General features: G+C 38.6%; 1 protein-coding gene and 1 long non-coding RNA gene across 7 annotated transcripts in view, besides 8 other annotated features; one reads left to right on the forward strand and one right to left on the reverse strand.

The window, feature by feature from the left end:
- TARS1-DT (TARS1 divergent transcript) overlaps positions 1 to 496 on the reverse strand; it is a 32713-nt gene extending 32217 nt beyond the window's left edge. Inside the window, exon 1 of the long non-coding RNA XR_001742630.2 lies at positions 67 to 496. This is a non-coding gene — a long non-coding RNA (TARS1 divergent transcript). The remainder of the gene's footprint in view (positions 1 to 66) is intronic.
- Positions 173 to 760: an enhancer, noted in NCBI's record as "H3K27ac hESC enhancer chr5:33440417-33441004 (GRCh37/hg19 assembly coordinates)". NCBI's record gives its function as "activates a minimal SCP1, AML or CMV promoter by ChIP-STARR-seq in naive H9 embryonic stem cells {active_cell/tissue: H9 hESC(naive)}" and the evidence as "EXISTENCE:reporter gene assay evidence [ECO:0000049][PMID:30033119]".
- Positions 415 to 724: an enhancer, noted in NCBI's record as "active region_22453". NCBI's record gives its function as "activates an Ori minimal core promoter by ATAC-STARR-seq in GM12878 lymphoblastoid cells {active_cell/tissue: GM12878}" and the evidence as "EXISTENCE:reporter gene assay evidence [ECO:0000049][PMID:35858748]".
- Positions 558 to 27953, forward strand: TARS1 (threonyl-tRNA synthetase 1). Of its 6 annotated transcripts, none has more exons than NM_001258437.1 (20): positions 558 to 653; positions 908 to 1005; positions 5186 to 5266; positions 8403 to 8593; positions 13151 to 13274; positions 14807 to 14928; positions 15449 to 15566; positions 15864 to 15928; positions 16011 to 16089; positions 17119 to 17265; positions 18428 to 18526; positions 19557 to 19723; positions 20764 to 20926; positions 21020 to 21157; positions 21529 to 21606; positions 21768 to 21868; positions 21961 to 22065; positions 23615 to 23687; positions 26733 to 26847; positions 27422 to 27953. In NM_001258437.1, the coding sequence occupies exons 2-20, from the start codon at positions 949 to 951 to the stop codon at positions 27568 to 27570; spliced, it is 2172 nt and encodes a 723-aa protein (NP_001245366.1). In that variant the 5' UTR covers positions 558 to 653; positions 908 to 948; the 3' UTR covers positions 27571 to 27953. The 6 variants fall into 6 exon arrangements, 3 of the variants coding, with proteins under 3 accessions (NP_001245366.1, NP_001245367.1, NP_689508.3); NR_047676.2 differs by lacking the exon at positions 558 to 653 and adding an exon at positions 6506 to 6626 and having other exon boundaries at positions 827 to 1005; positions 27422 to 27948; NM_001258438.2 differs by lacking the exon at positions 558 to 653 and adding an exon at positions 12203 to 12301 and having other exon boundaries at positions 827 to 1005; positions 27422 to 27948.
- Positions 825 to 1014: an enhancer, noted in NCBI's record as "active region_22454". NCBI's record gives its function as "activates an Ori minimal core promoter by ATAC-STARR-seq in GM12878 lymphoblastoid cells {active_cell/tissue: GM12878}" and the evidence as "EXISTENCE:reporter gene assay evidence [ECO:0000049][PMID:35858748]".
- Positions 1275 to 1334: an enhancer, noted in NCBI's record as "active region_22455". NCBI's record gives its function as "activates an Ori minimal core promoter by ATAC-STARR-seq in GM12878 lymphoblastoid cells {active_cell/tissue: GM12878}" and the evidence as "EXISTENCE:reporter gene assay evidence [ECO:0000049][PMID:35858748]".
- Positions 1349 to 1935: an enhancer, noted in NCBI's record as "NANOG-H3K27ac-H3K4me1 hESC enhancer chr5:33441593-33442179 (GRCh37/hg19 assembly coordinates)". NCBI's record gives its function as "activates a minimal SCP1, AML or CMV promoter by ChIP-STARR-seq in naive H9 embryonic stem cells {active_cell/tissue: H9 hESC(naive)}" and the evidence as "EXISTENCE:reporter gene assay evidence [ECO:0000049][PMID:30033119]".
- Positions 7633 to 8146: an enhancer, noted in NCBI's record as "OCT4-NANOG hESC enhancer chr5:33447877-33448390 (GRCh37/hg19 assembly coordinates)". NCBI's record gives its function as "activates a minimal SCP1, AML or CMV promoter by ChIP-STARR-seq in naive H9 embryonic stem cells {active_cell/tissue: H9 hESC(naive)}" and the evidence as "EXISTENCE:reporter gene assay evidence [ECO:0000049][PMID:30033119]".
- Positions 8147 to 8660: an enhancer, noted in NCBI's record as "OCT4-NANOG hESC enhancer chr5:33448391-33448904 (GRCh37/hg19 assembly coordinates)". NCBI's record gives its function as "activates a minimal SCP1, AML or CMV promoter by ChIP-STARR-seq in naive and primed H9 embryonic stem cells {active_cell/tissue: H9 hESC(naive and primed)}" and the evidence as "EXISTENCE:reporter gene assay evidence [ECO:0000049][PMID:30033119]".
- Positions 20283 to 21482: an enhancer, noted in NCBI's record as "BRD4-independent group 4 enhancer chr5:33460526-33461725 (GRCh37/hg19 assembly coordinates)". NCBI's record gives its function as "activates an origin of replication core promoter dependent on BRD2, P300/CBP, MED14 and CDK7 cofactors, and independent of BRD4, by STARR-seq in HCT116 cells {active_cell/tissue: HCT116}" and the evidence as "EXISTENCE:reporter gene assay evidence [ECO:0000049][PMID:35650434]".
- Positions 27954 to 27999: the final 46 nt, after the last annotated feature.

Genomic DNA, 27999 nt, shown 5'->3' on the forward strand with positions numbered 1-27999 from the left:
AGTTGTAGAGAACAGAACTGATGTTTAAAAAGAAAAATCCACAAAACGTGGTGGTGGAGCACGTACCTGAAGTTATGCCTATTGCGCTTCTGATTTCAAATAAGTAATTGTTTTAAATTGCCTACTAACATAAAAAAGCCCAGTCGATTCCAAACACTGGCACCCAGGCGTGAGAATCCATGGTTATTTCCTTGGGTGAGCTTTATTGTATTTTTGCGGGCGCTATGGAAATGCTCCTCCAGGCAGTACAGATCAGCAGCGGCTCGTAGTGAAGAACGTTCAAGGAAGAGTTTGTCCCGGATCAACAGGACATGGGGCTTGGGAAGCCTGGACTGCCATGAGGAAGGTCGATTCACCACTACAGACAGGGAGCCTGAGGCCTGGGTGGTGCCGACAAGTCGGCAGTCACGCCAGGTCAGGAAGCGCCGAAGCCGCGGGAAACCCTGGACTCCATCCCGGGATTTGTCCCCGTGTCGAAGATGGTATCCAGGTCGCCGAAAACTTCCCGGAAGTTTAGACCAAGACCTACTTATTATCTACGGTGTCCGGGAAGGTCCATGATTGTTCCACATAAAGTCAGAAGGGAGGAAAGGCGCACGCGCATTGGGGACTTGACTCTGGAAAGCGTCCAGACCAAGGTCAGCGGAGAGTAGGCATGTAGCTTCTGCAGTTGCTCCTCCTCACCCTCCGCGACCTGATTTCCTAGAAGGGCTCTGTCACCCGAAAAGATTTTCCACTGGCTTAGAGGAGGGAGGGCCCGCCTTCCCCCGTTATCCATTGGCTGCTCGTTCCGCCGCAAGTTGGGGGCGGGGTTAGGGCGCCTTTCGATTGCATCAGCTGGTCCAGCCGAGGCCAAGTCCCGGGCGCTAGCCCACCTCCCACCCGCCTCTTGGCTCCTCTCCTCTAGGCCGTCGCTTTCGGGTTCTCTCATCGCTTCGTCGTTCGCCAATGTTTGAGGAGAAGGCCAGCAGTCCTTCAGGGAAGATGGGAGGCGAGGAGAAGCCGGTGAGCAAACTTGGTGGGACCCAGAGACCAGCCTGGGACTCTAGTGGGTGCAGACGCTACGCTCGCGGCGGGAGCGGGGGGCAGGAAGCAGGAAGCGGCCGGGACCGCGTGGGTCGGAGAAGTGGGGGATGGTGGGACTCCTGGAAAGTCGGAACCCCCTTTGGGAACCATCCATTCATAAATTAGGGTGGGGCCTTGCAGTTCATCTGTGGGTCCATTCTCTTTACAGATGAGGAAACAGACCTTGAGTGAGCGACTTGTTCAGAGCCTCACATCTACAGTAGTTAGACGCGGAGACAGAATCAGAATCTTAGGCTTGAGGCTTCCAAACTTGCGTTTATGGCTTACTGTAAGCGGGAAACACATTGCAGAGCCTTATTTAATCAATCTCCTAAGATCCTGCGGGGGTAAAGAGCTCCATTTTAAGGAAAGGAAAACCGAGTGCCCGAGATCTGACCCAGCTTGTCCAAGTTTGGGTGGTTAAGTATACATTTTGCCCGGCACTGATCTGGGCGGTGCATGTGGGAAGATGAATAGGGCCCAGTTCCCCGACTTTGAGGGCCTCACAGGCTGATGTGTAAGAGACAGGAAAACAGCCCTAGTGCTTTGTGATCAACCTTGTGGTATTACAGAAGAGGAAGTTTAGGAAGGCACTTTAGAATTTAGTTTGGAAGAATGATTTCACCAGGTAAACAGGCAGGACGGGGCTTCCCACGTAAAGGTAGGGAAGGCAGTGAAAAGGGGCACGCAGGTGAATTGTCTTTCGGGTTGTTTGCAAGAGATATGCCAGAAGGGTTAAAGGAACAGTAATCAGAAGGATCTTAGGCAACAAGGATGTTTGAAACTTGTATTCTATACATGAAGGATCTTAAGCAGGAAGATTGTATTTGTAAAAGTCACGCTGGCATTGGGATAGAAGGTTAGGCCACATGCAGAAGGCTGTTGTAATAGTCCAAGTGAGAAGTGGTGACGTCTTCAGCTAAGGGATCCTCTATCCCAAGTCTGTGACAGGACAGTTCACTTAAAAGCCAAATTTTTTTCTTGATTGTCCACTCGAGATTGAATGGAGAAACTGCATACGGGCACATTCTAACTATGTAAATTTAATTCTAGATGATAAATGGTGACTATACGTAGATTTTTTTCACATAAAATGATATTTTTACTGTTTTGTAACTTTTTTTTTTTTTTTTTTTTTTGCTTAATAGAATGTGGTCAACAACTTTCCATGTCCATAAATATTCTCCTGTGCTATTCTTAATTGGACGTGATATGTATGGTTAACACATATGTAATTTTTCCTTCCTGTAATAATTATACAATAGTTAATATTTATTTTGAGTACTAAATACGAGTTTGGCACTGTATTAATGCATTCCATGAATTAACTCATTCAGTCTTCTTTTTTTTGAGACGGAGTCTCGCTCTGTCACTCAGGCTGGAGTGCCGTGGTGCGATCTCGGCTCACTGCAAGCTCCACCTCCCGGGTTCATGCCATTCTCCTGCCTCAGCCACCAGGCCTGGCTAATTTTTTGTATTTTTAGTAGAGACGGGGTTTCACCGTGTTAGCCAGGATGGTCTCGATCTCCTGACCTCGTGATCCGCCCGTCTCGGCCTCCCAAAGTTCTTGGATTACAGGCGTGATCCACCGCGCCCGGCCTCATTCAGTCTTCTTAATAACGCTGTGAAGTGGGTTCTGTTATTATCTCCATTATACAGATGAGAAAGCAGGCGTAGGAACAGTAACTTGCTCAAACCCAGTATCCCCGTTTTTTTCCTTCCTCAAACCCAGTATCCTATAGCCAATACTAATAACCCCTGTGCTGTTCTGAGTGAGTCAGGGACAGATCATTCCTGAGAAAGGTAATTCTGTAGCTTCTCTTCACAATCCGGTTCTGTTTCCCAACTTTTGGGTTGAGATTTTAGATTACTTGTATGTAGATGTACATACCATATATACTCAGGGAAATAGAGAACAGTTGCCTACTCTCTTCCCAGTGTTGTAGAAAAGGGGTCATAGGCCTCAGGGTTCCAGAGAGACCTGTTGTAATTTCCCAGCTCTATTACTTAATGATACAAATGGGCAAGTTACTTCTTTGAGCCAGTGTTCTTGTTTGTAAAATGGAGCCGTATTTAGAACCAGAAAACCTTTGTGGTGATTCCCTCTCTCTCTCTCCCTCTCTCTCTCTCTCTCTCTCTCTCTCTCTCTCTCTCTCTCACTACCCCTGTTCATTTGGCAAATGGTCAAAACCAAAATAATCTTATCAGAAATATAAAACTTATTTTATCATCTTTCCATTTTAAACCTGCACAGACCTGCAATTTTTCTTTCTTTTTTTTTTTTTTTTTGTTGTCGTTGTTGTTGTTGAAATGGAGTCTTGCTCTGTCTCCCAGGCTGGAGTGCAGTGGCGCGATCTCTGCTCACTGCAAGCTCCGCCTCCCGGGTTCCAGCCATTCTCCTGCCTCAGCCTCCCGAGTAGCTGGGACTACAGGCACCCGCCACCACGCCCGGCTAATTTTTTTTGTATTTTTTAGTAGAGACGGGGTTTCACCGTGTTAGCCAGGATGGTCTCGATCTCCTGACCTCGTGATCTGCCCGCCTCGGCCTCCCAAAGTGCTGGGATTACAGGCATGAGCCACCGCGCCCAGCCGCAATTTTTCTTTTTACCCAGTATACTTGATCAGTTACATCACTTCTGCAGTATAACAAAGGCTCTATTGAATCTAAATGAACCTTTAAAGTTTATTAAATCCAGACTTCTGGAGTAGGGGGGATTTTAGCTCAGCATGAAATTAGGAGTCATATTTTAAAATTAGTTTTTTTTTTAATTATACAAGTAACGCATTTTATAGGATTTAAAAGACAATGGCCAAAATGTCCATCAACTGATAAATGGATAAGTAAGCAATGGAATATTATTTGATAATAAAAAGGTACAATGACAAGTATTGATGCATGTTACAACCTGATGATCTTGAAATTATTATGCTAACTAAAAGAAGCCTGTCACAAAAGACCACATAATGTGTGATTCTATTTATATGAAATTCCCAGAATAGGCAAATCTATAGAAACAGAAACTAGGTTAATGGTTGCCAGGGTCTGGAGATGAAGGCAACAGGGAGTAAACTGCTAATGGGTACAAGGTTTCTTTTTGAGGGTGATGAAAATACTCTAAAATTGATGGTAGTGATAGTTGCAAAACAGTGAATACCTAAAAACCATTGAATTGTGTACTTTACATGGGTAACTTGTATGGTATATGAATTGTATCTTAAAACTTAAGAAAACTAAAGGTCACAAACATGCAAACTAATTAAAATCCCTGTTTACATTCCTGGCACAGGATTTATTACTTTAAAACTTTCTATGACTTCACTTGCTTCTAATTGAAGTCTGTATTCCTTATGGTAACTTTTAGTTCTTGCTTCTGTGAGCCTTAGTCTGTCTTACCTTGTATTACTTTCTAAAACAATCCTTCATTAATCAGCCTGGTTTAGTCATTTTTTCTCTCTTTAAATTTTAACATTTCTGACAACAAGCTTATGTGTACACATAGGACACATTTCCTGTATTCTCAGAATCCACCTGTTGAAATGCATTCCATCCTTTAAAACGCTAGTCCTAGCTTATTTGACATCTAATCGTAGCGTTACTACTGTGTTTTCTCCTCCGGGAGTTTCTCACACATGTATGCCTTACTTTCCCTGGAGAGACTAGGTTTACACATGGTAGGGATTGGGCCTTATGTTTGCTTCTTCCATGGCTTTTGTTAGCACTGGTGGAATTCATGGGCACACTTTGCATTCAGTTTTTTTTTTTTTCCCCTGGAAATATGCTTACTGAATCAACTGCGTGCTTCCTTGTGGCCATATGTTTGGTATGTGGTCCAAGTAAACCTGAAGCGAGAGTCACAAGAATAGTTAAAATAAAATAAATGAAATTTGAGGAGTTAAACATCGTTAGTAACTCCTTCCTACTTTTTAAAGACTTGCCTTTATTGTAAGTTGTTAACCTGTCTTTGCCAGTGATGAAATTGTTCAGTCTTTCAATATCAGATTTCCATTTTTTTTAAATTAAATAACAAATACTAAAATAACATTCTCAACACTTCCTGGGGCATCACAGGATGGAGGTGTCACATTAGATTAAAATATAAAACGTTTTTTGCTTATTTAGATTGGTGCTGGTGAAGAGAAGCAAAAGGAAGGAGGCAAAAAGAAGAACAAAGAAGGATCTGGAGATGGAGGTCGAGCTGAGGTAAAAGTTATCATCACAGAGGGCTCTGTTATCAGAGGTTGGCAAATCGCAGGGAACTTTCTGAGACTTTCCTAATGTGTAAGGGTTCTAATGGTTTACATGGTAGTGTAAGATGGTACTGGTTGGAAAAATCAGGAAGAAGAATTAGGAAAGGGTAATCTGAGAGGGGAAAAAAGACTTTCAGTTGTTACTGTAAAAGGAAGCAACTGGCGTATGATTGTATAAGATGATCTGATTGTAGGGTTGAATATAAAAATCAGAGAACAAAAGTTGAAGAGGAGACTGGTAATTATTCAGTTGCCAGATGTGATGCCAGCTCTGACATTTCATTAAATGAGATGTTAGGGAATAGAGACTTGGTGTTTGGGCTTACACTGAATACAATGAAAACCAAAGAAAGCCAGTTTTTTGACCCCCTCCTTGCCCTTTCCATCTGGACCTGCCCTAGGGTTGGCTTCTAAGCCAGGACAGATCCCCTTAAGGCCTCTCAAGTCTGCAGAAAATGCTTTCACTTCTCCAGGCTCACACTGAAAGGAACTGGCATATCAAAAGCCAGCCCTAAATCAACCTGGTTCCTGAGTATTTTGCTTTTACAGGCAGTTAAGCTTGCCTTTCTACTTTATTTTTACTGCTGTGAACTGTGCTTCACTTTTTGCTTTAGTCATTACAGCTGTTTTATTGGAGACTCTTTAGAAAGCTACCAGAAGGAAGAAGCACAAAGGAACAGCCTTTTTAGAAGTAGCACAGTAAGCTGGCTTTTAAGAGCCACTTTTACAAATGCTGCAATTGCTAAATTTATAGTGCCGTCATTTACTTTAGGGTAAGTTTATAGATGATCAAGTGTAGTGTTGCTTAGAACCCTACCTAACCATTTATCTTACGGCTGATCAGTTGATCAGTCTCCCGACCATTATACCCCCACTGTAATTGTGAAGAAAATTGTTGATTGTGAATTTTAAAATTTGCAAGCCAATGGAAAAATGCATATGTTCCCTAATTTCTTTTTTATACTTTCAATACAAACATACGTGCTGTTCCATCACAGCTTGAGAAATGACCTGGAAATAAGACAAAGAGTATAATTAGAAGACTCTTCTGAACAGAGAATTTTAAGTGGGACATGTGATTATTTATGTTTAACGATTGGTCTGGAAAAAAGAGTGTACAGTGAACTGTCCAAGACCTTGGTCTTCCCCTCCAAGGGCAACTTGCAGGTTTTATTCATCTCTGCAATCACAGAGACTGACACAGAGGGTATCTGCTGAATGAATGTTGAAGAGATTTTGACACGAAATTCTAATTGGGACATTGCAAGTGGCTATGATGATAAACTGCAGTTAAGATACAGAGGGTGGTGCAGGTGGGTAGGATTATAATGATGCTTTAGAGTGGATGGAACTGGGTACTGTGCATTAGTCTGAGGGGTTCAGATTATGGTTGTAGAATGACAGGCTCTGTCTGAGCTTTTAGTTAATTCATGGGTTCTTCACCATTGAAGGTTATGGACCGTTGTGATAATTTGATGAAAAGCTCTCAACAACTGAACGACTAAAGAAAGGGAGGGACTGCTGTGGGTGGGAATTACAAAGATATTAGGGCCTGATACGGTGGTAGGAACCAATCACTTGAGACTGAGTGGGAGAATCACTGGAGCCCAGGAGTTTGGGGCCAAAATGCGCTGTGACTGTGCCTGTGAATAGTCACTGCGCTCCAGCCAGCCTAGGCAACATAGTGAAACCCTGTCGTTAAAGAATGGAAAGAAGGAGGGAGGGAAGGAATTACTGGGCAGACAATTAATCTTTTTCATTTGATATTATTTTCTATTATCTCCAGTCAATTTTGTTTTGTTTTGTTTTGTTTGAGACAAGGTCTCACTCTGTTGCCCAGGTTGGAGTGCAGTGGCCCAATCTTGGCTCACTGCAACCTCCACCTCCCAGGTTCAAGCAATTCTTATGCCTCAGCCCCACAAGTAGCTGGGACTACAGGTGTGCGCCACCACACCTGGCTAATTTTTGTATTTTTAGTAGAGATAGGATTTTGCCATGTTGGCCAGGGTGGTATCGAACTCCTGGCCTCAAGTGATCCATCTGCCTTGGCCTCCCTAAGTGCTGGGATTACAGGAATGAACCACCATGCCCTGCCCCAGTCAGTTTCTTAAGGATTAGATATTCCCTTGTACTCCTTTCAAATTGTGGTATGTTGATATATATGGAGACATATGTATGGAGACGTTGGTAGCATTATCAACATTGAATAAATGTTAAAATCTGTATTGCAGTAAGTCATTTTATATCTGATAGATTGAAATTCATTTGAAGATAGAAAGTCATGGCAAAATTAAGCAATCTCCTCTTCACTTTTGTATGAAGTGTTAATGTTCATGTAATTTGAAGATGATGAATGCTGTAGATGTTAGTTTGACTGTTTTGTTACCACAGATTCACTGCCTTTTTGAAATGTTCCATAGATTATAGAGTGACAGTAGAAGAAGTCAGCTCTCTGATTGCTGTCTCTTTTTCTTTCTTTGCCAAACCTCTAGAAACCTAAGTGGGTGTTTTATATAGAATATTTTTGTTAATTTTATCTGCTATAGAAAGTAGTAGTGTGTTGTTTTATATAGTTGCTAATTACATACTCCAAGCTGATCATGGCATCTTTGAATTCAGTAAATACTTTCCTTGAAGGGGAGACCTTAAGTCAAAGAAATTTGTGATTGGTTGTGAGTGGACATATAGGCTGACCCGCTGCACAGACCATCACCTGGACATGAATGAAACAAAATAGAAAAGCCAGTTTATTGTTTTTATTTCCAGTATTGTTTATAGCTCTATTTGTAAAATAATTTAGTTAGAAAAGATCCTAAGAAGACATCTTAAAAGAGAAAAGACCACTTGCTGTAAATAGTAGCAAAATGGTAATTGTCGATTCAGCATAAGAATAGGGCATTTAATTCCTTCTTTTACCTTCATTTAGAACCAAATTGAGGTAATGCCGGGTGATTTTGGCAGTGTTTATTTACCACATTGAATCAATAGTCCTGGGTTTCTGTATTGTTTTTATTATTTCTTTCCCATTTCTAAATAGGAAAGCAATATTTACTGATCATTTATTTCCTGATTTGTTTGTTGTCTTGCAGTTGAATCCTTGGCCTGAATATATTTACACACGTCTTGAGATGTATAATATACTAAAAGCAGAACATGATTCCATTCTGGCAGAAAAGGCAGAAAAAGATAGCAAGCCAATTAAAGTCACTTTGCCTGATGGTAAACAGGTTGATGCGGAATCTTGGAAAACTACACCATATCAAATTGCCTGTGGAATTAGGTATAAGCTACACCCATCATGACCTTCCATAGTTTGTGGTCTAACTAAACTTCCTTTTATTATCTTGCCATGTTTTATTCTTATAATATTTTTATGTTACCATTCAGTGTTTTTAATCTGTTTAATTTTGCCTACTTGAGATTTTTTAAAAATCAAAATGATACAGAGCTTTGTAGTCAAAATTCAAAGTTAATTTCTGAAAGAGTTTACTTTGGTCTTATCTTTTGGGGCATTGTATATTTTTAGTCTTACTATGATTATAAATGTTACAAAACCGACTAGACAGTGTTTACCTATTTCGACTTAAATGTCTTGGTTTTGAAGTTAAAAATGAAGCTACATAATCTCACATGGAAAGGTTAAGAAACTTCATATAACACATGAAAAAAATGTACTATTTTTATAAATTCAATGAAAGACTATTCCTAGTCTTAAAACTTTTATTGGGGTGGGAAGAAGTTATTTCAATTAACTGAGAATTAGATGCATATTTTGTAATAGGGGAGAGGCTTTCTTAATCTGATATGATTGGGATCAATAATTGGTCAGTTTATCAAAATAAGAGTTGGTAAAACATATATATGTGTATATATATACGCGTATATATACACGTGTATATATATATATCTTAAACTGGGTATTGGGAAACTCTAGTCATAATCTGTTTGTGTATGTCCTGAAAGCGAAAAATAAAAATGATTCTTTTTTTCTTTCTTTTTTTTTTTTTTTTTTTTTTTTTGAGACAGAGTCTTGCTCTGTTGCCCAGGAGGCTAGAGTGCAGTGGCGCGATCTTGGCTCACTGCAAGCTCCACCTCCCAGGTTCACGCCATTCTCCTGCCTCAGCCTCCCGAGTAGCTGGGACTACAGGTGCCCGCCACCACGCCCGGCTAATTTTTTGTATTTTTAGTAGAGACGGGGTTTCACCGTGCTAGCCAGGATGGTCTCGATCTCCTGACCTTGTGATCCGTCCGCCTCGGCCTCCCAAAGTGCTGGGATTACAGGCGTGACCCACCGCGCCCAGCCAAAAATGATTCTTAAATTTTTAAATAGTTGGAAAAAATAAAACAACTAAGAATATACAACAGAGACCATGTTTGGCCTGCAAAGTGTAAAATATTTGTGTGGCCTTTTACAGAAAAAGCTTGCCAATCTTGGTCTTAAACACTTCAACTTAAAATATGTGAATATGTATGTATTCACTAACTTTATATACATACATAAAACAGTGAATATATATATGTATGGCAAGGTTTGGGGGATAGCGAGTGCTAATTAGAGTTCTTACATTATCTTAACACATACGAGAAGTAGTCTGAGCACAGAATCCTTGCAGATTTTCATGTAGTTGTAGAGTTACACCTAACTTGACAGTGTTTTTGTGTGTGTGACTTGGATTTATCAAGCCTTCTCAAACATTCAACTTGGTTTTCATAGAATCCATAATTCCCTTATTGTGTTATTTTATAATTATATATTTTTGAAGTTTATTTATAAGTGTTATGTATTGAATTGAACCATTTGGAATCACCATATGAATTGTCATGTGGTTGATTATCATCAATTTTGTATTGTTGAACCAAACACGTAAAAGAACAAGCACAAAAACAGTTTGGGGAACCAACGTGGCTGATTCTTGGTAAGCGTATTATACAACTAGTAGAAGCAGAACCAGTTAGGCCTATGAGCCATGAGCATCTACTGTACCACAGACATTAGTTAGTACTTTTTACAAAGTGAATGGAGTGTTTCCATTCATTTGACAAGTGCTTCTACCTACAAGTTCTTCTACCTTACTCCAAAGGAAGTAAAAAGTTGTAATACCATGCAAGTTTCTATGTGAGAGCATAGAGAACTGGATAGACCTTTACGTATCAGTTCAACCTTTCATTTTAGAGATAATTTTGAAGGTCAGGTTGATTAATAGATTCCTCTGTTGTCACACAATGAGATTGTAGCCGTGTCATTAAAATTTAGGCTTCTGTTAGTTTGGGAACTTTTTCCTCTACCTTCTACAATGTTGATCTAGATTACATTGTAATTTATCAAGTCTTCAGTTGAAAAATATTCTTCAAGAACTATAAAATTCTAAGTTGAATTACATAGCTGGGCGTGTTGGCTCACAGCTGTAATCCCAGCACTTTGAGAGGCCAAGGCAGGCAGATCACCTGAGGTCAGGAGTTCAAGACCAGCCTGGCCAACATGGCGAAACCCTGTCTCTACTAAAAATACAAAAATTAGCCAGTCATGGTGGCGCACACCTGTAGTCCCAACTACTTGGAGGCTGAGGTGGGAGGATAGCTTGAACTCGGGAGGTGGAGGTTGCAGTGAGCCAAGATTGAGCCACTGCACTCCAGCCTTGGTGACAGAGCGAGAGTCCGTCTCCAGGGAAAAAAATAAAAGGTTGAATTACATAAAACATTGATGGGCTTTAGCTCTGGAGTTAAGTCACTGATCTGCACTGAGAATACTTTATGAAATTTTTACAAAAGTCCAGAATAACTTTTTGTTCTGTGAAAAATTATAACATTGATAACAGGCTATTTAAAGATTCACATAATTAGTGGTGAATATGAAAGGGAAGGACAAAAAAGACATGTTCCATTTGCGTCAAAAGGTTTTTCTTTGAAGTTTTGTTATAAATCTTTTTTTTTTTTTTTTGAGACGGAGGAGTCTCGCTCTGTCGCCCAGGCTGGAGTGCATTGGCGCCATCTTGGCTCACTGCAAGCTCCGCTTCCTGGGTTGACGCCATTCTCCTGCCTCGGCCTCCTGAGTAGCTGGGATTACAGGCGCCCGCCACCACGCCTGCCTAATTTTTGTATTTTTAGTAGAGACGGGGTTTCACTGTGTTAGCCAGGATGGTCTTGATCTCCTGACCTCGTGATCCACCCGCCTCGGCCTCCCAAAGTGCTGGGATTACAGGCGTGAGCCACTGCGCCTGGCCGTTTTGTTACAAATCTTAAAGATTATTTTACCCTTCTTTGAAAAATTGAAATGATCCAGTATGGCCCATGTGTAATCTACATTTTCAGAGTAACTCTATTCTTAGAATCTTGGGGCTCCATATTGGATCATAAGATAAAAGTCATGTTCTTCCCAAAGAATATAGAGAATATGATTATCCTTTTTATCAGTTCTTTAATCTCCTGAAAACTGTTTTACACCAATATGATGAAATACATTTCTCTCTGCCAAATTCATGTTATGTTTTGTGAAATGCATGTATTTATTTTATTGACTCCATCTGATCTCAGGAGGAAAGAAAACATTGTTTATAACCTATGGTAAAGTTAGTAGGAGCATTGAAAATAGAAAGGAGTTTGTTGTTTACTTTCTGTTTGGTTCTTTTCTCTTGATCCTCAGATAGGAGTTGTATACATTTTGTTGTAAACCCTTAGACATAGAGAGCCACCAACACAGCAAGCCTGGCTAGCTTAAAGCCTTCTAGTGGTAGGTTTCTTTGAGATTTACAGTGTAAAGGGTGTATACTTTTTCTTCACAGTGTAGAATGTTGCCTACCTTCGTTGAGATGTCCAGGCTGTTATAGACTATTATTTCTCTAGCTGTGCATTTAGATGTATAATCTGGCTCACCTACTCAACTCTGCTCTAGTCACACAGCTTCCTGCAAAAACCTCTCTTCACTTGCATCTCTGCTTGCATCTGTGGCCATTCCCTCATCTGGAATGCCATGGCCTCCTCTTTTCTTCCTGTGAGTGCTTTATCCTCAAAGCCTTTCCAGATGACTCTGACCTGTACTGCTTTCCCTCCTCAGAACTCCTGTAGCTTTTACACTCTGTGTGCTCTGATATTTCATCACTTGATGATACTTTATGTTCGATGTTGTATATTGGGTGTGTAATGTTTTTACTCACATTATATGGAAAGTTTTATTAAATAGTCTTTCATTTTACCTCTATATTTGTTATAAATATTATCATAGGCATTTGCAGAATTTATTCTGAGGTTAGCATTGTCTGTCAAAGAAAGGATCTGGTGTACATTTTAAGCAGGAAGAGGAACAGAGAAGTTATTTAGTAGGCCTTTTTTTTTTCCTTTGGAGTCTACATAGCTTAGCTTTGTAGAAAGAGAAAGGTGGGTGTATTAAGAGAAAACTCGGTGTGGTGACTTGTGCCAGTTGTCCCAGCTACTCTAGAGGCTGATGTTGGAGGATTGCTTCAGGCCAGGAGGCCAGCCTGCGCAACATAGCAAGACCCTGTCGCTAAAAAATTAAAAAAAAAAAAACTTATTTGTTGGAGAAATTAAGATTATTCAAACCATTGGAAATTGATAGTGCTTATTTATCAGAGTTGCCATATCTGCTTAAACAGGAGGCATTCAATGTCAAATGATAATGTTCTGCATTTTCAGGATCTTCCAGTTAGGTTCTTAGGTACATTTTTGGAATTTGTTGTTTTTATCATTATATTTCAGAAAAATAGAGATACATCAATATAAAAAAACAATATATAATAAAAATAGTGTTTATTTTCCTGTTTTCAAATTAGATTCGTGTGTACTTATATATGTGTGGACTTTTTTTTTTTTTTTTTTTTTTAAGTCAAGGCCTGGCCGACAACACCGTTATTGCTAAAGTAAATAATGTTGTGTGGGACCTGGACCGCCCTCTGGAAGAAGATTGTACCTTGGAGCTTCTCAAGTTTGAGGATGAGGAAGCTCAGGCAGTAAGTTGCTGATTAGTATTCATTGAATTTTAGGATGCAGATTCACATTTGAAGTCTTTTCCAGCTCAGTCCTGCTGCGATTGGGTGGCTAACATTTATTGTTGTCTCACTGTCATATTTGAAATCTTCATTTTGTCCTTCATTTAGGGAACATAATAAAAGTGCTTGCCTTAGAAAATAAAGGGGTGAAGCTGAATAAGTCTTTTCATTACTAGACACTTCAATAGGGAAAATGTTTTGGGAATTGTATTAAACATTGATTAAGCAAGTAAAAATTGTTTTCTAAACTGTGAACACTATTTTATTTTAATTTTTTTTTTTTTTAATGATGGAGTCTTGCTTTGTCACTCAGACTGTAGTGCAGTGGTGCGCTCTTGCCTCAGTACAACCTCCACCTCCCAGGTTCAAGCTATTCTCCTGCCTCAGCCTCCCAAGTAGCTGGGATTATAGGAGCGCACTACCACACTTGGCTAATTTTTGTATTTTTAGTAGAGATGGGGTTTCACCATGTTGGCCAGGCTGGTCTTGAACTCCTGACCTCAAGTGATCTGCCCACCTCGGCCCCCCAAAGTGCTGGGATTATAGGTGTGAGCCACTGTGCCTGGCCTCTAAGCTATGAACACTCTAGCAAGATATGTACATTTGACAAATAAATTTGAACCTTACTTCAAAGCACTGCCTTTATTGGATAATTTCTGTATTTTTTTCTCATCTTAAGATGCAAATCTGCTGGATAACACTATAAAAGTCAACCTGCATGTGATGACAAGATTTTCTTTTTAATTCTCCATGGCTGTGTATCATATAAGGGGAGACAAAGTATTTTGTTTTAGTGATGATTGTTCACTTATGTATGTGGATTAGTGGTTTTCAAATGTATTTTGGAGCCCTCAAGTTTCTTACGAGAATTTTTTAATGTCACTTTGGTACCTTAATACTAAATCTTGAAAACATTGCTTTGGGTGTATTCTGACTCATCCCAGTGATTACTTTAAAACCAAGTACTGCCATTTGATTTCAGTGTACAGATGTTTGTCCTCGTGTTTTGTCATTGTGTTGTGGGGTCGGGTTGTACCACCTTTGTTTTGGGCCAGTAACAACATGTAATTTCTAAGTGATGTTCCATAGCCAGCTAAAGGCCAGATCACAGTGTCTGAGACATGGTGCTGTGGGCACATTGACTCAAAAGAACCTGGGCCATTGCAATCAATGAGTTAGTCACATTGTGAGTAGCAGTTGTTTTCAGAGAACAAAGTCTATGTCATTTAATTAGTGATGCCAAGTTTAGTTTAATTTGTTTGAAAACAGCTAAACCAGATGATTTCCAAAATAAAAATACACTAGTAATTGGAAGCCTTTTGAATTACTTTGGCTATGGATAGAAACAGTAGTTTATAGATTTAGAAATTTAGGATTTTATATATTGGGTTTACTTGTAGTAAATATTATCATCTGTCTCTTTCAGACAACCACATTAATTGGCAACTTGTATGCCAAGACTCAGACCATGCCATTTTTCTTTAAATTTTCAGGTGTATTGGCACTCTAGTGCTCACATAATGGGTGAAGCCATGGAAAGAGTCTATGGTGGATGTTTATGCTACGGTCCGCCAATAGAAAATGGATTCTATTATGACATGTACCTCGAAGAAGGGTAAGCCATCAACTAGATAAAGAAAACTGAAGTCAATGACTATGGATCCATAAGTTATTCTTAAGAGTTCTCAGTAAGGGAGGAATGATATAGATCTCACTGCTTCTTCATCAGGTATGCCCATTATCAGTACTTGAAGTGTTGCAATTTACCTGAAGTAATAGAGGATTTGATGAGACCTCTGTTCTAGATTGATGGAGGTAGAGTCCTAAGGTATTTTGGGAAATTCAGGGAGACTGGTCCTCCCCTCTCCTTTAAAACCTGGTGATAGAGTTGCGGGAAGGGGTCACTAGTGAGAAAGGTCTCCATGGATGACCAAGGTAGAAGCTACTGAAAATATAAAATGTAAAAATTACTTATGAAAAATGTTTTGTTTAGAATTCTAAGATACGATGCAATAGTCTAATTTTTTAATATTAAAACCCTTGAAGTATTCCAAATACTATTTCCAAATGAACATTTTTCGAAGCCATGGTGTGATTCGAATGGAATGAAAAGATTATACTTTCTTCTCCTTCAGGGGTGTGTCTAGCAATGATTTCTCTTCTCTGGAGGCTTTGTGTAAGAAAATCATTAAAGAAAAACAAGCTTTTGAAAGACTGGAAGTTAAGAAAGAAACTTTACTGGCAATGTTTAAGGTAAATTGAACCATAGTGCGTGGCCCCCACTGTTAATATCATTTATTCATGTTAGTTGAAGTGACACCACTGGCGTTCCGTGTACTAAGCTGAAGTCTAATTGGTTCTTTAGCAAAAATTAAGTGTTTTTATTATTTTTTTAATTTCATTTTTTTCCTAGCAAACCATTCCTTCAACATGTTTTTAAAACATGAAGTATCAACATTTATATTCATACAGTGCTACGTTTTAGCTATAGTACTTAGAAGTAAAAATTAAAGGACAGTTTTTTAAAATAATAATTTTTCCTGTTTTCAGTACAACAAGTTCAAATGCCGGATATTGAATGAAAAGGTGAATACTCCAACTACCACAGTCTATAGGTAAGAATATTAGATGTCATTAAATGTATCTGGTATGTATGTCATTTTGTCTTTGTTAAAATTCCTTTCATTTTATCTTTAGATGTGGCCCTTTGATAGATCTCTGCCGGGGTCCTCATGTTAGACACACGGGCAAAATTAAGGCTTTAAAAATACACAAAGTAAGTAATGTAACTTTAAAGACTGTGAATGTATCTGTCTAGAATAGATATATGTTTAAACTTTCACTGATTTCTCTTTACCATTTTCTGTTGCACATGAAAGGATGGTATTTTCTCATGCTCTCTATTAACTGGGAGCTGTATGCCATCAGGATTTTATAATTGAAATCCCTCAAGGGGTGACTGACTTGCTGTCATTGCCAGAGCAATCACAGGGGATGGAGATTTTACAAAATCATACAGCATGGGCCATCCTGGCTCTATAAAAGCTTTGAGACTCACTGGGAGTATGTGCTTTTGCCCTTTATATGTCTAAATTAATAATTTCCCAAGTTGTTGTTTTTAACAGAACCCAGTTTTATACTAGTTCATAAACATTTTATGGAGGTTTTTAAAATGCACTTTAAATCAAGAGAATAATTGAGTCATTTCAAGATTTTTTTTTTATTGGCTCATTTCTATTTTTGCTCATTTTGTGAGAAATGCCTTTGCAGGCAAAGTAATGTTTGTGGAATTGTGGTTGAGTATTGAGGGGTGGGCAGTTTTGGGGGTATTGGGGTGTAGAATGGGTCTCACTCTGTTGCCCCAAAAAGACAGAGTGGAGGACCACTTGAGCCTGGGAAATGAGGTTGCAGTGAATGGAGATCGTGCCACTGCACTCCAGGCTCAAGCAGTCCTCCTGCCTTAGCCTCCTGAGTAGCTGCGACCATAAGCGCACACCACCATGCCTGGGTAATTTTCTTTTTTTTAAATAAAGAATGGGGTCTCCCTGTGTTTCCCAGGCTGGTCTCGAACTCCCAGGCTCAAGCAATCCTCTTGCCTCGGCTTCACAGAGTGCTGGGATTACAGGCATGAGCCACTGCACCCACCTGCAGATTGAGGGAGGGGCATTTTTGAGGATAGAAAACAGCCAACTTTGTGCTGCAGAATGAGTAACTACTCTAACAAGGCCTCAAAGCAATTGGGAGTTAAAATAAGTGAGATGTTTACAAATTTGAATGTTGTTTCATGGTTAATCCTTGTTTTCAGAATTCCTCCACGTACTGGGAAGGCAAAGCAGATATGGAGACTCTCCAGAGAATTTATGGCATTTCATTCCCAGATCCTAAAATGTTGAAAGAGTGGGAGAAGTTCCAAGAGGAAGCTAAAAACCGAGATCATAGGAAAATTGGCAGGGTATGTTCAAGAACAATGATGTGTCTTGACTGAGTTTTCTTCAACTTCATTTGAAGTTTGAAATTCAGCTGCATGAAGTACTAGGAATTTTGTTTTGAAGAGATGTTGTGGCTTTTTAGTAACTGGTGCTATGTCCTGTACAAACTATAAACACTTACTGATTGTCCACATTATCTGCCTGGAGTATGCTCAGTACCGCACAAAAATGCATTTGAACTACTTTTATTGAGAGCAAACACTGATGATCTACGGTTTTCTGTAAAAGAAGTATAACAGCTTCTCATAGAGCTGGGAGAACTATGGAAACCCTCTAGTTTCACTGACTCATTTAAAATGTGGAAACAGAGTCCCACAAAGATTAACCTACTTGTTGCCCAAGGTTTAGCAGCATGTCGCACATGGATCCTGTGCTATCATTTCCTCTACCCATTATCTCTGTTACTGCTGAATGTCCTCTAAACTGGAAGTTAGGCTAGATAAAACATTCCCCCTTAAAATAGGCACTCTGTGCCAGGGGTCCTTGGCTATTAGGTTATGAAGCTTGAGCTGGAGGTAGCAGCCACTGCCTTGCACCCCTGACTACCTGACATTCCAGCTATGAGGCAGCCAGCAATGATTGATGGGCCCTTCCCTGAGGGCTTTTGGGCACTTGGGGAGGCGGATGTTGGCAAGGAGGTAGGAGGGTGTGTTTCTTTCACCATGACCCAAAGTCAGCCAACTTTACCATCATCTATTTCATTATCAGTGTCTTTTTCCCAGTCTCCTTCCTGATACTCTTACTAAGAAAATAAATACATACATAAATAAAATGAAAAAAGATCCAGATCTTGGAGCTTTAAGGAATTTAAGAACCATGAGAGGTACTGCAGTGGATAGTTAAAGAACTGAAGGGACCCTTATTCCCTGCCACTGTTGGGGAAACTTGACTGGATTGAGGAATATAACAGGCAGGGCATGTGTTACACGTCTGCCAAATTGTAAATCAGCTGCAATTCTATAACATCAGAAACACTGACATGGTTTCTTTGATTCAGGAGTGGCACTGATTGAAATATGGGACATCATGACCATATTCTGAGCTCAAGAACACTGAAATTTATGTATATATACACACACGTATACGTGACGTACATAAACATTCTTTTGCTTTTCTTTTACCCAGGACCAAGAACTATATTTCTTTCATGAACTCAGCCCTGGAAGTTGCTTTTTTCTGCCAAAAGGAGCCTACATTTATAATGCACTTATTGAATTCATTAGGGTAAGTCATATTTATTGCTTTCTTCTTTAGATTTAGGATATGTGATCATTTTATTAAATAAGGTCTACTAAAAGGAAAGATAATCTGTATTTGAGAAGAAATATATAAGACGATAAGTAAAAGTAGAAGTCTGTGGCCTCATAAATCATCCCTAATAGTTGATTTTGCCCATATACACATAGAAACTGGTGAGCTTGAAGGGGGACCTGTGGTCCTTGACATAGGAGCTCTGTGCCCTCTTTGACTTTGATCATTTATTTGTATTTTCTTTGAAAAAACGGTTTTTACATTGCTTTTTTCCTTTGTAAATTATGAAATGTTTCAAGTATAAGTTTATAGAGAATAGTATATCCAATATCTTGTACTTAACTACCCACATTTAACAAATATTCACATTGGGCTATATTTGCTTGAGATTTTTTCATTCATGATATTAAAAAAAAAATTAGTTGTTTAAAAAGCCTCTCTTTAGGACCCAGTTTTGATCCATATACCTCCATATACTGGTATATATATCCATATACTGGTATATCATATACCAGTTTTCTAGAAGAAACTACTGTTTTGAAGTTGGCATGGATTCTTTTTGTCCATGTTACTTATATCTAGCCCATGTATTTGTACCCTTAAATTATTTATGTATTTGTGTGTTACATATAGGAAGCCTCATTGTGTATCAGACTGCCTTGTGATTTATTTTTAGAGACATGCAAATCAAGTTTATTTTCACTTGCTACATATTATTTTGTTATATAACTACCACAATGCACTCATCCCTGTATTGATGGACACTGATGTATAATTGTCCCTTATTATCAGCCATGCTGCAGTAGCATCACTTTTATAAGCCTCCTTAGGTACATGTGCCAAGAGTTTTCTCTCTGGTATATACTTAGAAGTGGGATTTCTGAATCATGGCATGTGTCCATCTTTTTCATGAGAGAGTATAAAATCACTCTTTAAGTTTTTACTCCCACTTGAAGTATGAGCATTTATTTGCCTACACATGTTTCTGTTTATTTTCTATCAGAGCGAATATAGGAAAAGAGGATTCCAGGAGGTAGTCACCCCAAACATCTTCAACAGCCGACTCTGGATGACCTCGGGCCACTGGCAGCACTACAGCGAGAACATGTTCTCCTTTGAGGTGGAGAAGGAGCTGTTTGCCCTGAAACCCATGAACTGCCCAGGACACTGGTATTCGGCAGCTTTGAATTTCTACTGAAGATTTTCACATGCTACAATTCATCCTGGGTTCTTCCCTCCTTTAACAACATTTTCATTAAAAACAAATTATGTGATCAGAAGAGCATTTAAACGCAACATCTTTGTATTATATCTTCTGCACCTGATTAGATCCCCACTTTTTTTTTTTTTTTTTTTAAAGAGGTCTTCCAACTGGAGTGCAGGTATGCGATTATAGCTCACTGCAGCTGGGACTGCAGGTATATGCCACCATGCCCAGCTAATTTTTAAAATTTTATTTCTGTAGAGATGAGGTCTTGCCACGTTGCTCAGCCTGGTCTCAAACTCCTGGCCTCAAGCGGTCCTTCAACCTTGGCTTCCCAAAGCGCTGGGATTACAGGCATGAGCCACTGTGCCCAGCCAGATCTCCAGATCTGTGGGCATTCAGTAATGGTACTGGGATCATAGCAATGACCAAGGCAGACTATAAAACAGGAAGATGAAATATGGGGGTGTAACAAATTACCTAGTGTGTTGTTGTTTTAAAGAAACCTGTTCTGTCAAAACCTGCTAATGACTCAGCATTCTTGGAAAATGTTCCTTGTCATGAGGCCGCTCTGCTTTCTATCTTTGAAAGTTGGGTGAAGAACAGCTTAAGGGAAGACACAGGAGAGCTGTGGATACAGGTAGCTTAGTGTCTGCAGCTCCTACTAGCCAGGCCTGGAGGGCAGAGGAGGTGAGAGAAGAATCTTTGTGAAGAAGCTGTATTATAGGCTAGGGGACCAACCAAGTTCATTCTTAATTTTCCCAGATTCTTCAGTTGTTGGAATACGTTTTTTAATTCTTCACTGTGGTTCATTGAGTTATAACTTATTTGCTGTTTTATTCATGCAAGTGCTTTTACTGCTGTATGTAGCCCAGAATTTGAGAAATGTTGCTTGGATGGACAGCTAGAATCAGTGGCTTTTTGACAACCTTTCGTGTAATTAAATATAGCATTACAGAAGCAGTTTTATTCTTAAGTGTCCGTGGACTTTTCTTTTTCTCTTCAGCCTTATGTTTGATCATCGGCCAAGGTCCTGGCGAGAACTGCCTCTGCGGCTAGCTGATTTTGGGGTACTTCATAGGAACGAGCTGTCTGGAGCACTCACAGGACTCACCCGGGTACGAAGATTCCAACAGGATGATGCTCACATATTCTGTGCCATGGAGCAGGTATGAGACCCTGGGAATAAAATACTTAGAAAGAAGAGTCAAGAAAGTCAAGGAAAATAACTACTGTTTCTTTTTTTGTTTTTTAATTTGAAGATTGAAGATGAAATAAAAGGTTGTTTGGATTTTCTACGTACGGTATATAGCGTATTTGGATTTTCTTTTAAACTAAACCTTTCTACTCGCCCGGAAAAATTCCTTGGAGATATCGAAGTATGGGATCAAGCTGAGAAAGTAAGTGGTGTTTTTCAGCGTGCTTTTGAATACTGTTTGAAATTGGCTTGTTCTGAGATGTAAGAAAGCCAAGCCTCTTTAAATGGATAAAAGCAAAATGAAATTGGAAATGGTTCCTAGGTTTGTGTAAGCTAGTTTTTTTCTTTATGATTGTGTATTTTTGAAATGGTTGAATGTTTTCATGACTTTTTTCAGTTATCAAGCTATAAGCTTTAAAAAGGGGTTGGTATGAGCATATGTTCAGGTGGACAAAATTCTAAAGCAGAGAATATTGATCTATGAAAGTAATTACTGTATTTTTAGTCTCAAATTAGGCTAAAAGAAGGGAAATTGCGATGAAAAAAATAAAAATCATTTTGCTTTATCCTCAGCAACTTGAAAACAGTCTGAATGAATTTGGTGAAAAGTGGGAGTTAAACTCTGGAGATGGAGCTTTCTATGGCCCAAAGGTGAGCACTAAAGTACATTTGGGTAATATGATTTTCACTTGTGGATGAAGAAGATACGACTTCGAAAAAAGTTGGAAAAAAGAAAATCAGCCCTAATCCAACTATTGAGCTCCACTTTAGTATCACTGGCATTTTATAATAACCCAGTCTTTGCTTCTTAGATTGACATACAGATTAAAGATGCGATTGGGCGGTACCACCAGTGTGCAACCATCCAGCTGGATTTCCAGTTGCCCATCAGATTTAATCTTACTTATGTAAGGTGAGTTTCTGGTGTCTGCTCTGAATATTCTCCAGGGATATATAAGAGAAAATATATATAATAAGACAAAACAATTTTTTTTTTCTTTATAGCCATGATGGTGATGATAAGAAAAGGCCAGTGATTGTTCATCGAGCCATCTTGGGATCAGTGGAAAGAATGATTGCTATCCTCACAGAAAACTATGGGGGCAAATGGTAATTTTTGTCACTGTCTTTTTTTTCTGATTAGTATAAATTGGCTACAAGAAATGTCTACTTTTCGATTTAATTATCAGATGGAAAGGGAGAATGATTCCAATCGGTTGCTTCTAACTAACGACAAGTGTTCATTAAAAAATAAGGAATCACAATCTAAACACAAACTTTTTAGCATTAAGAACAATTGCTAATAGTAATTACTTTAATTCCAGAACTTGATTTGTTTGGATGTTGTGTAATACTTTCTAATTAGGAATTAGTATTCTGTAAGAAGTATACTTACTGTTTTGGATGCTTTTCTAGTAACTTTGTTTTGGGATTTAGATGGCTTTGCTGGTTTTACATAGATAAATGAGGAGGCTTATGGCTTTCTTCGTTCAGCCTTGCTAATCATAACAAGCAGGTATTTGGACATGTTTTAAAAGCCAAGCATTTTTTAAAACAGATGCCAAACCGATCAACATTTGTGATTCATTTCTGTGAGGTTAAGTAAGTTTTTGTTTCCAAGATACATGGCCACATAACTTTCATCTTAATTCTTAAGCAGTTTTTTCTGGACCCACAGTGCATTTGAAAGCAGCACAGGGTTATAAAAGCACCCGTGTGTAGAGCCTTCCATATTAATCATATTGATTTAAAACTTTTGTAAAATGACGTACATTGGTTTAATCTTACACATTACTGTCATTTCAGTTTTATTTGAACTTGGTTACTTCAGAAATTAGGACAGTTTCTCATTCTGATCAATGATACAAGATAATCTCTAGATTTCTCAAAGTCAGATAAAATGTGAGACACATTCTCTGCAAGGTATTTCAAGAATTAAGGGAGTCCTCAGCTAATTGCTCTGCTAAACCTGTTTTAGGTGGGGAAAAGTCCATGATTAGGGTAGAATTTAGTGCCTACTTTAGCCTTTTGCCTGATACAACAGAACAACTGAAAATAGAGGAATGATGGAGAAAAACATTAGCCTGATGTTTGCAGCATCAGAAGCATTTGACACTTGTATTGCTTCAAAGGGAGAATTGGATGGGCTTATTTTTTAATAAGTAGTGAAAACTCTGATTTTTACCAAGTGCCATAACCAGTTATTATCAATTACAATTTGCTGAATGATACAAAATGGATGTTGAGTAAACTGAGGGCACTGTGTCCCCGTGAAGAATAAGTAATAAAATGAACAATTAATCACTACATGCAGTTATTAAATCATTTGTTACCTCCTCTCACAGCCAATACACAGTGTTTTGTGATGTATTAAAGTGTGAGGCCTAGTCCTATCCTCAATTTGCTTTGCTATCTACTTAGCAAGACAAATTGTAGTTACAGGCTTTCCTTACGTAGGGTTAGTTTTCTTCTCCTGCATCTCCTCGCCTTAATCTTTATTGGATAGGTCTTTTCATTTTGGGGTTTTTTAAAGCCAAGTTTTAAAAGTAGTCGTTACATGTTCCAGGAAAAGATACTGAAGAGTAGAGTAAGAAATATGCTGTCCCTGTTTAGTGAATATGCCCACATCTACACTGAATATTTTTATTCTCTTCCAAAGGCCCTTTTGGCTGTCCCCTCGCCAGGTAATGGTAGTTCCAGTGGGACCAACCTGTGATGAATATGCCCAAAAGGTAAGCCTTAGATATGAATTTTCTTTCAATTTAACATCTGTTGTTCAGCTTTTCAAATCACATAAGCCCTGTATTCTTGGTGAATCGAGCTGTTGTGATAAAGAGAAATGTTACTATTTTTAATCTTTGTTAAGCCTGAATAGATTATATTACTTCTTTAATGCTTTTCTCCATGATTCCATAATCAGAAGACATATTTGGATAGTGTTTTATGTACACTTGTATATTTTATTGTATTTGTTTTAAGAGATGGGATCTTTCTCTTGCCCCAACTGGAGTGCAGTAGTACAGTCATGGCTCACTGTAACCTCAAACTCCTGGGCTCACGCAGTCCTCCCACCTTGGCCTCCCGAGTAGCAGTGACTACAGGCAGGAGCCACCATACCCAGTTACACTTGTATATTTTAGTATTTAGTATTTTAAAAAACCAGATTAGCAGATATCAGGTACTTCAGTATGGTAGGTAAATTCCCGTTCAAAATACAGTTTAGGCTGCTCTTTGACTCAGTGAGTAATTTTGCTTCATTTTAATGTAAATTTCTTCAGGTAGTTGAAATTTTTTCAGGTTAATAGTATAGCAGACCAATGTCTTGCCTCTCTACCAAAAAAACTAACTTACCAACAAATGTATAGCCATTCATAACTTCACTTTAAAGCATTGTTCTGCCATAGTGAAAATTCCATACTAAGGAATTTCAAATTATTAAAAGTTGATGAGTGAACAATACTGTAACATCAAAACCATCATGTCTTCAGACCATCAGAATAAACCACACTCAGTTCTTAATTACCCTTAAGAAATAAATGAACTTGAGCATGGAGATGCATACCTGTAGTCCCAGCTACTTAGGAGCTTGAGGCAGGAGGATCTTTGAGGGTTCAGGGTGTGATGATTGTGCTTGTGAGTAGCCACTGCATTCCAGCCTGAGCAACATAGTGAGACCCCATCTCTTAAAAAAAAACTGAAGTGGGCCAGGCGTGGTGGCTCACGCCTGTAATCCCAGCACTTTGGGAGGCCGAGGCGGGTGGATCACGAGGTCAGGAGATCAAGACCATGGTGAAACCCCGTCTCTACTAAAAAATACAAAAAATTAGCTGGGCGCAGTGGCGGGCACCTGTAGTCCCAGCTACTCAGGAGGCTGAGGCAGGAGAATGGAATGAACCCAGGAGGCGGAGCTTGCAGTGAGCCAAGATCATGCCACTGCACTCCAGCCTGGGTGACAGAGCAAGACTCCATCTCAAAAAAATAAATAAATAAAAACAAATAAATAAATAAAAAAAATGAAGTGAACACTAAACCATCTAATAGATAAACCATTCAGACTATTCCTGTTACTGCACTCAGTAGTTTTAGTTACAAATGATGACAATCAAAGTTATGTTCCATGGTTGAGTGCACTTTGTCTTATTTGTATGTGAAAACTCACACAGTAGGAAGAAGTTCTGTATTGGTTAACTGAGTTCTCAACTGGAGACAGCACTGACTTCCCCATTTCCCTTTGCGGGTAGGTGGCATTCCAGATTATGTGGTGGTAAGCTTTTCTTTTGCGGGGAGAGAAGACAGGGCAGTACTCCTGATACCTAATAACTATAGAGCAGACATGTTAAACACCCTGTAATTATCAGGCCACTTCCCCAACTGCAGAATTGCCCATCTCACGTGCACACACAGGACCCATGTTGAGAAAAATGAAGAAACTGATGCCTTATTCTTTAAAGTAGTTATAAGTTGAAGATGTAGACCTATCTTGGCATTCTAAAATTCTGTAACAACCCTTCTGAAATGGGTGTAATAAAATGTCAACAGGTTAATTGGTTCGTGATCACTGTGGCTTAAAAATCTAGTTAAAATGCTAAGACTTGTGCACAGTATAGGCAAAGTCACTTAGATTGTTTCAAAAAGTATGCCTTATAGAAATAAACATTTGACATACATAAATAACCCTTGGTTTACACATAACTCGCATTTGAGAAATGAATGTGTTGTAGATCATTTAGAATCTTTTTCAATCAAAAATTGAAAGAAATATTTCGTCACCCAGGTCAACCAGAGATTGCTGGTTTTACTCATGATACTTAAGTAGAGTATGATAGTTACTATTTCACCTTCAGCTGTACTTAAGATGTTTTCCTGGAAAAATTCATTCTGCTTTCTGACCAGGATTTCCAGAAACTCTGACCCTTCTAAGAGGTCTGGGTGGAATTGTGATGGTGATTCTGCTAGTAGACAGTGTAACTTCTGCGTCTACAAAAAGAGGATAGGCCGTCACTGCTCACATGGCTTTGCGTGAAAGCCCAATGGTACTGTCTCTATGGCAGAGATGAGGAAGGAACACCAGCGTCCTCCAACTTTCCTGTTCTTCCTTTGGGTTAATGGCCACTGTAAGGAAACAGTTTTCTGCCACGTGTGGGGTGATTTGAATGTAAAATGCCCAACTCTCATAGCAGGCTGAACAGAAACATTTTTTATACTCATTGTTAATTTGTTCTAATCTAAATTACTTTTAGACTATTAAATATTATTCTATTTTAAAGTTAAGGGACTAATGCCTCTGATAACCTGATTAAAAAAAAAAACTTTCTGATACTCAGAAGTTAAGATTTATTCAGTTGAAGATCATTTCTTTCAGGTGTTGATCGTGTGATATTTTTCACATCTGTAATCTGAGGTTCATATGAAATGATAGTGAAATAAAATTGTTCATTTAGGTCTTTTTGTCATGTTAATATGTTATCAGGTTAATGGGAAGTTTAATCTAGTTAATGTAAAATTAATAAATTGTAATCTAGTTTATTGCTTTTTTGGAAAAGAATACTGAAAACATTGTTTACTTAATACACATGACCTGAGGTAATAAAGAGGAGCTGGCCTTTTTGAGGGGGGAATAATGGCAGTGAATAATATTATCTAAGACAGTTTTGCCAGCTTTAAATTCCTGGAAGTTCATCCAAGAAGTCCTGATCCCTGTGTTCAGTAAAATCATGTGAGATCAAAATATAATTCTGATTTTAGATCTGACAAATTCTGTATCTCTGTTACAATAGGTACGACAACAATTCCACGATGCCAAATTCATGGCAGACATTGATCTGGATCCAGGCTGTACATTGAATAAAAAGATTCGAAATGCACAGTTAGCACAGTATAACTTCATTTTAGGTAAGAATGGAAACTTACCAAAGAAAATTTGCCACACCTCAGGAAAATCTACTGAAACCTTGAGACAGGTTTAAGTGAATTGTAATCAAGAATTTATTTAGTTCCTTCCAGTCCTGATTTTTTTTCTATTATATATTTTAATATATAATAACTATAAAAATAGGCTCATGCATACATACTGGGTTTTTTTTTTTTTCACTTAAATCATGGATGTCTGTGAGAAAATATTTTGCTATTATAACAAGAATGAAGACGCATTGCTTTTAAACACATCTATTGGATTACTTTCTCAAGATAATGCCTTATGTGGGATTACTTGAAAAAAGATATTCATGATGTTTGGGGTTTTATTATTTGGTTGTTACGTTGTCTAGATTGACTCCATAAGCACAGTAGTTTTAGATATTGCAAAGAGTTTCTTTTAAATATCAACACATGGTCACTTGTACCTTTTAATGTATCAGAAGCTATGGGGTAGGTTTTGGGTCCTAGGATCATTTCTTTTCAGATGTTCAGTGTGAATTCTTCCATATCTTTAGATTAAGTCTGACAAAGCTTTGTGTGTTTGTTTTAGTTGTTGGTGAAAAAGAGAAAATCAGTGGCACTGTTAATATCCGCACAAGAGACAATAAGGTCCACGGGGAACGCACCATTTCTGAAACTATCGAGCGGCTACAGCAGCTCAAAGAGTTCCGCAGCAAACAGGCAGAAGAAGAATTTTAATGAAAAAATTACCCAGATTGGCTCCATGGAAAAGGAGGAACAGCGTTTCCGTAAAATTGACTTTGTACTCTGAAAACGTCAATTTATATTGAACTTGGAGGAGTTTGGCAAAGTCTGAATAGGTCAACCTGCAGGCGTAACTATTTTTGACCTAGTCAGTTTTTAAACAATGTGCATTTGAAGGAGTTAATTAAAAGAGAGCCAATAAAATGATTTTACTCATTCAGTATCTGAGTACTGGAAGTGAAACATGAGGAATGCTTTAGTGTAATGTGGGAGAACTTTTTTGTAAATTTAATGCAATTGAAAAAGTTTTCAAATTCAATTAAGATAACTAGAATTGGATTATGGTGTAAAAATAAAAAAAAAATTTATTCACATAAGTTTCAAGACTGCTCTGTCCCTCACATGTACACATACATGCCTGAG

The sequence above is a fragment of the Homo sapiens genome, chromosome 5, assembly GCF_000001405.40.
Source record: "Homo sapiens chromosome 5, GRCh38.p14 Primary Assembly".
NCBI classification, from domain to species: domain Eukaryota; kingdom Metazoa; phylum Chordata; class Mammalia; order Primates; family Hominidae; genus Homo; species Homo sapiens.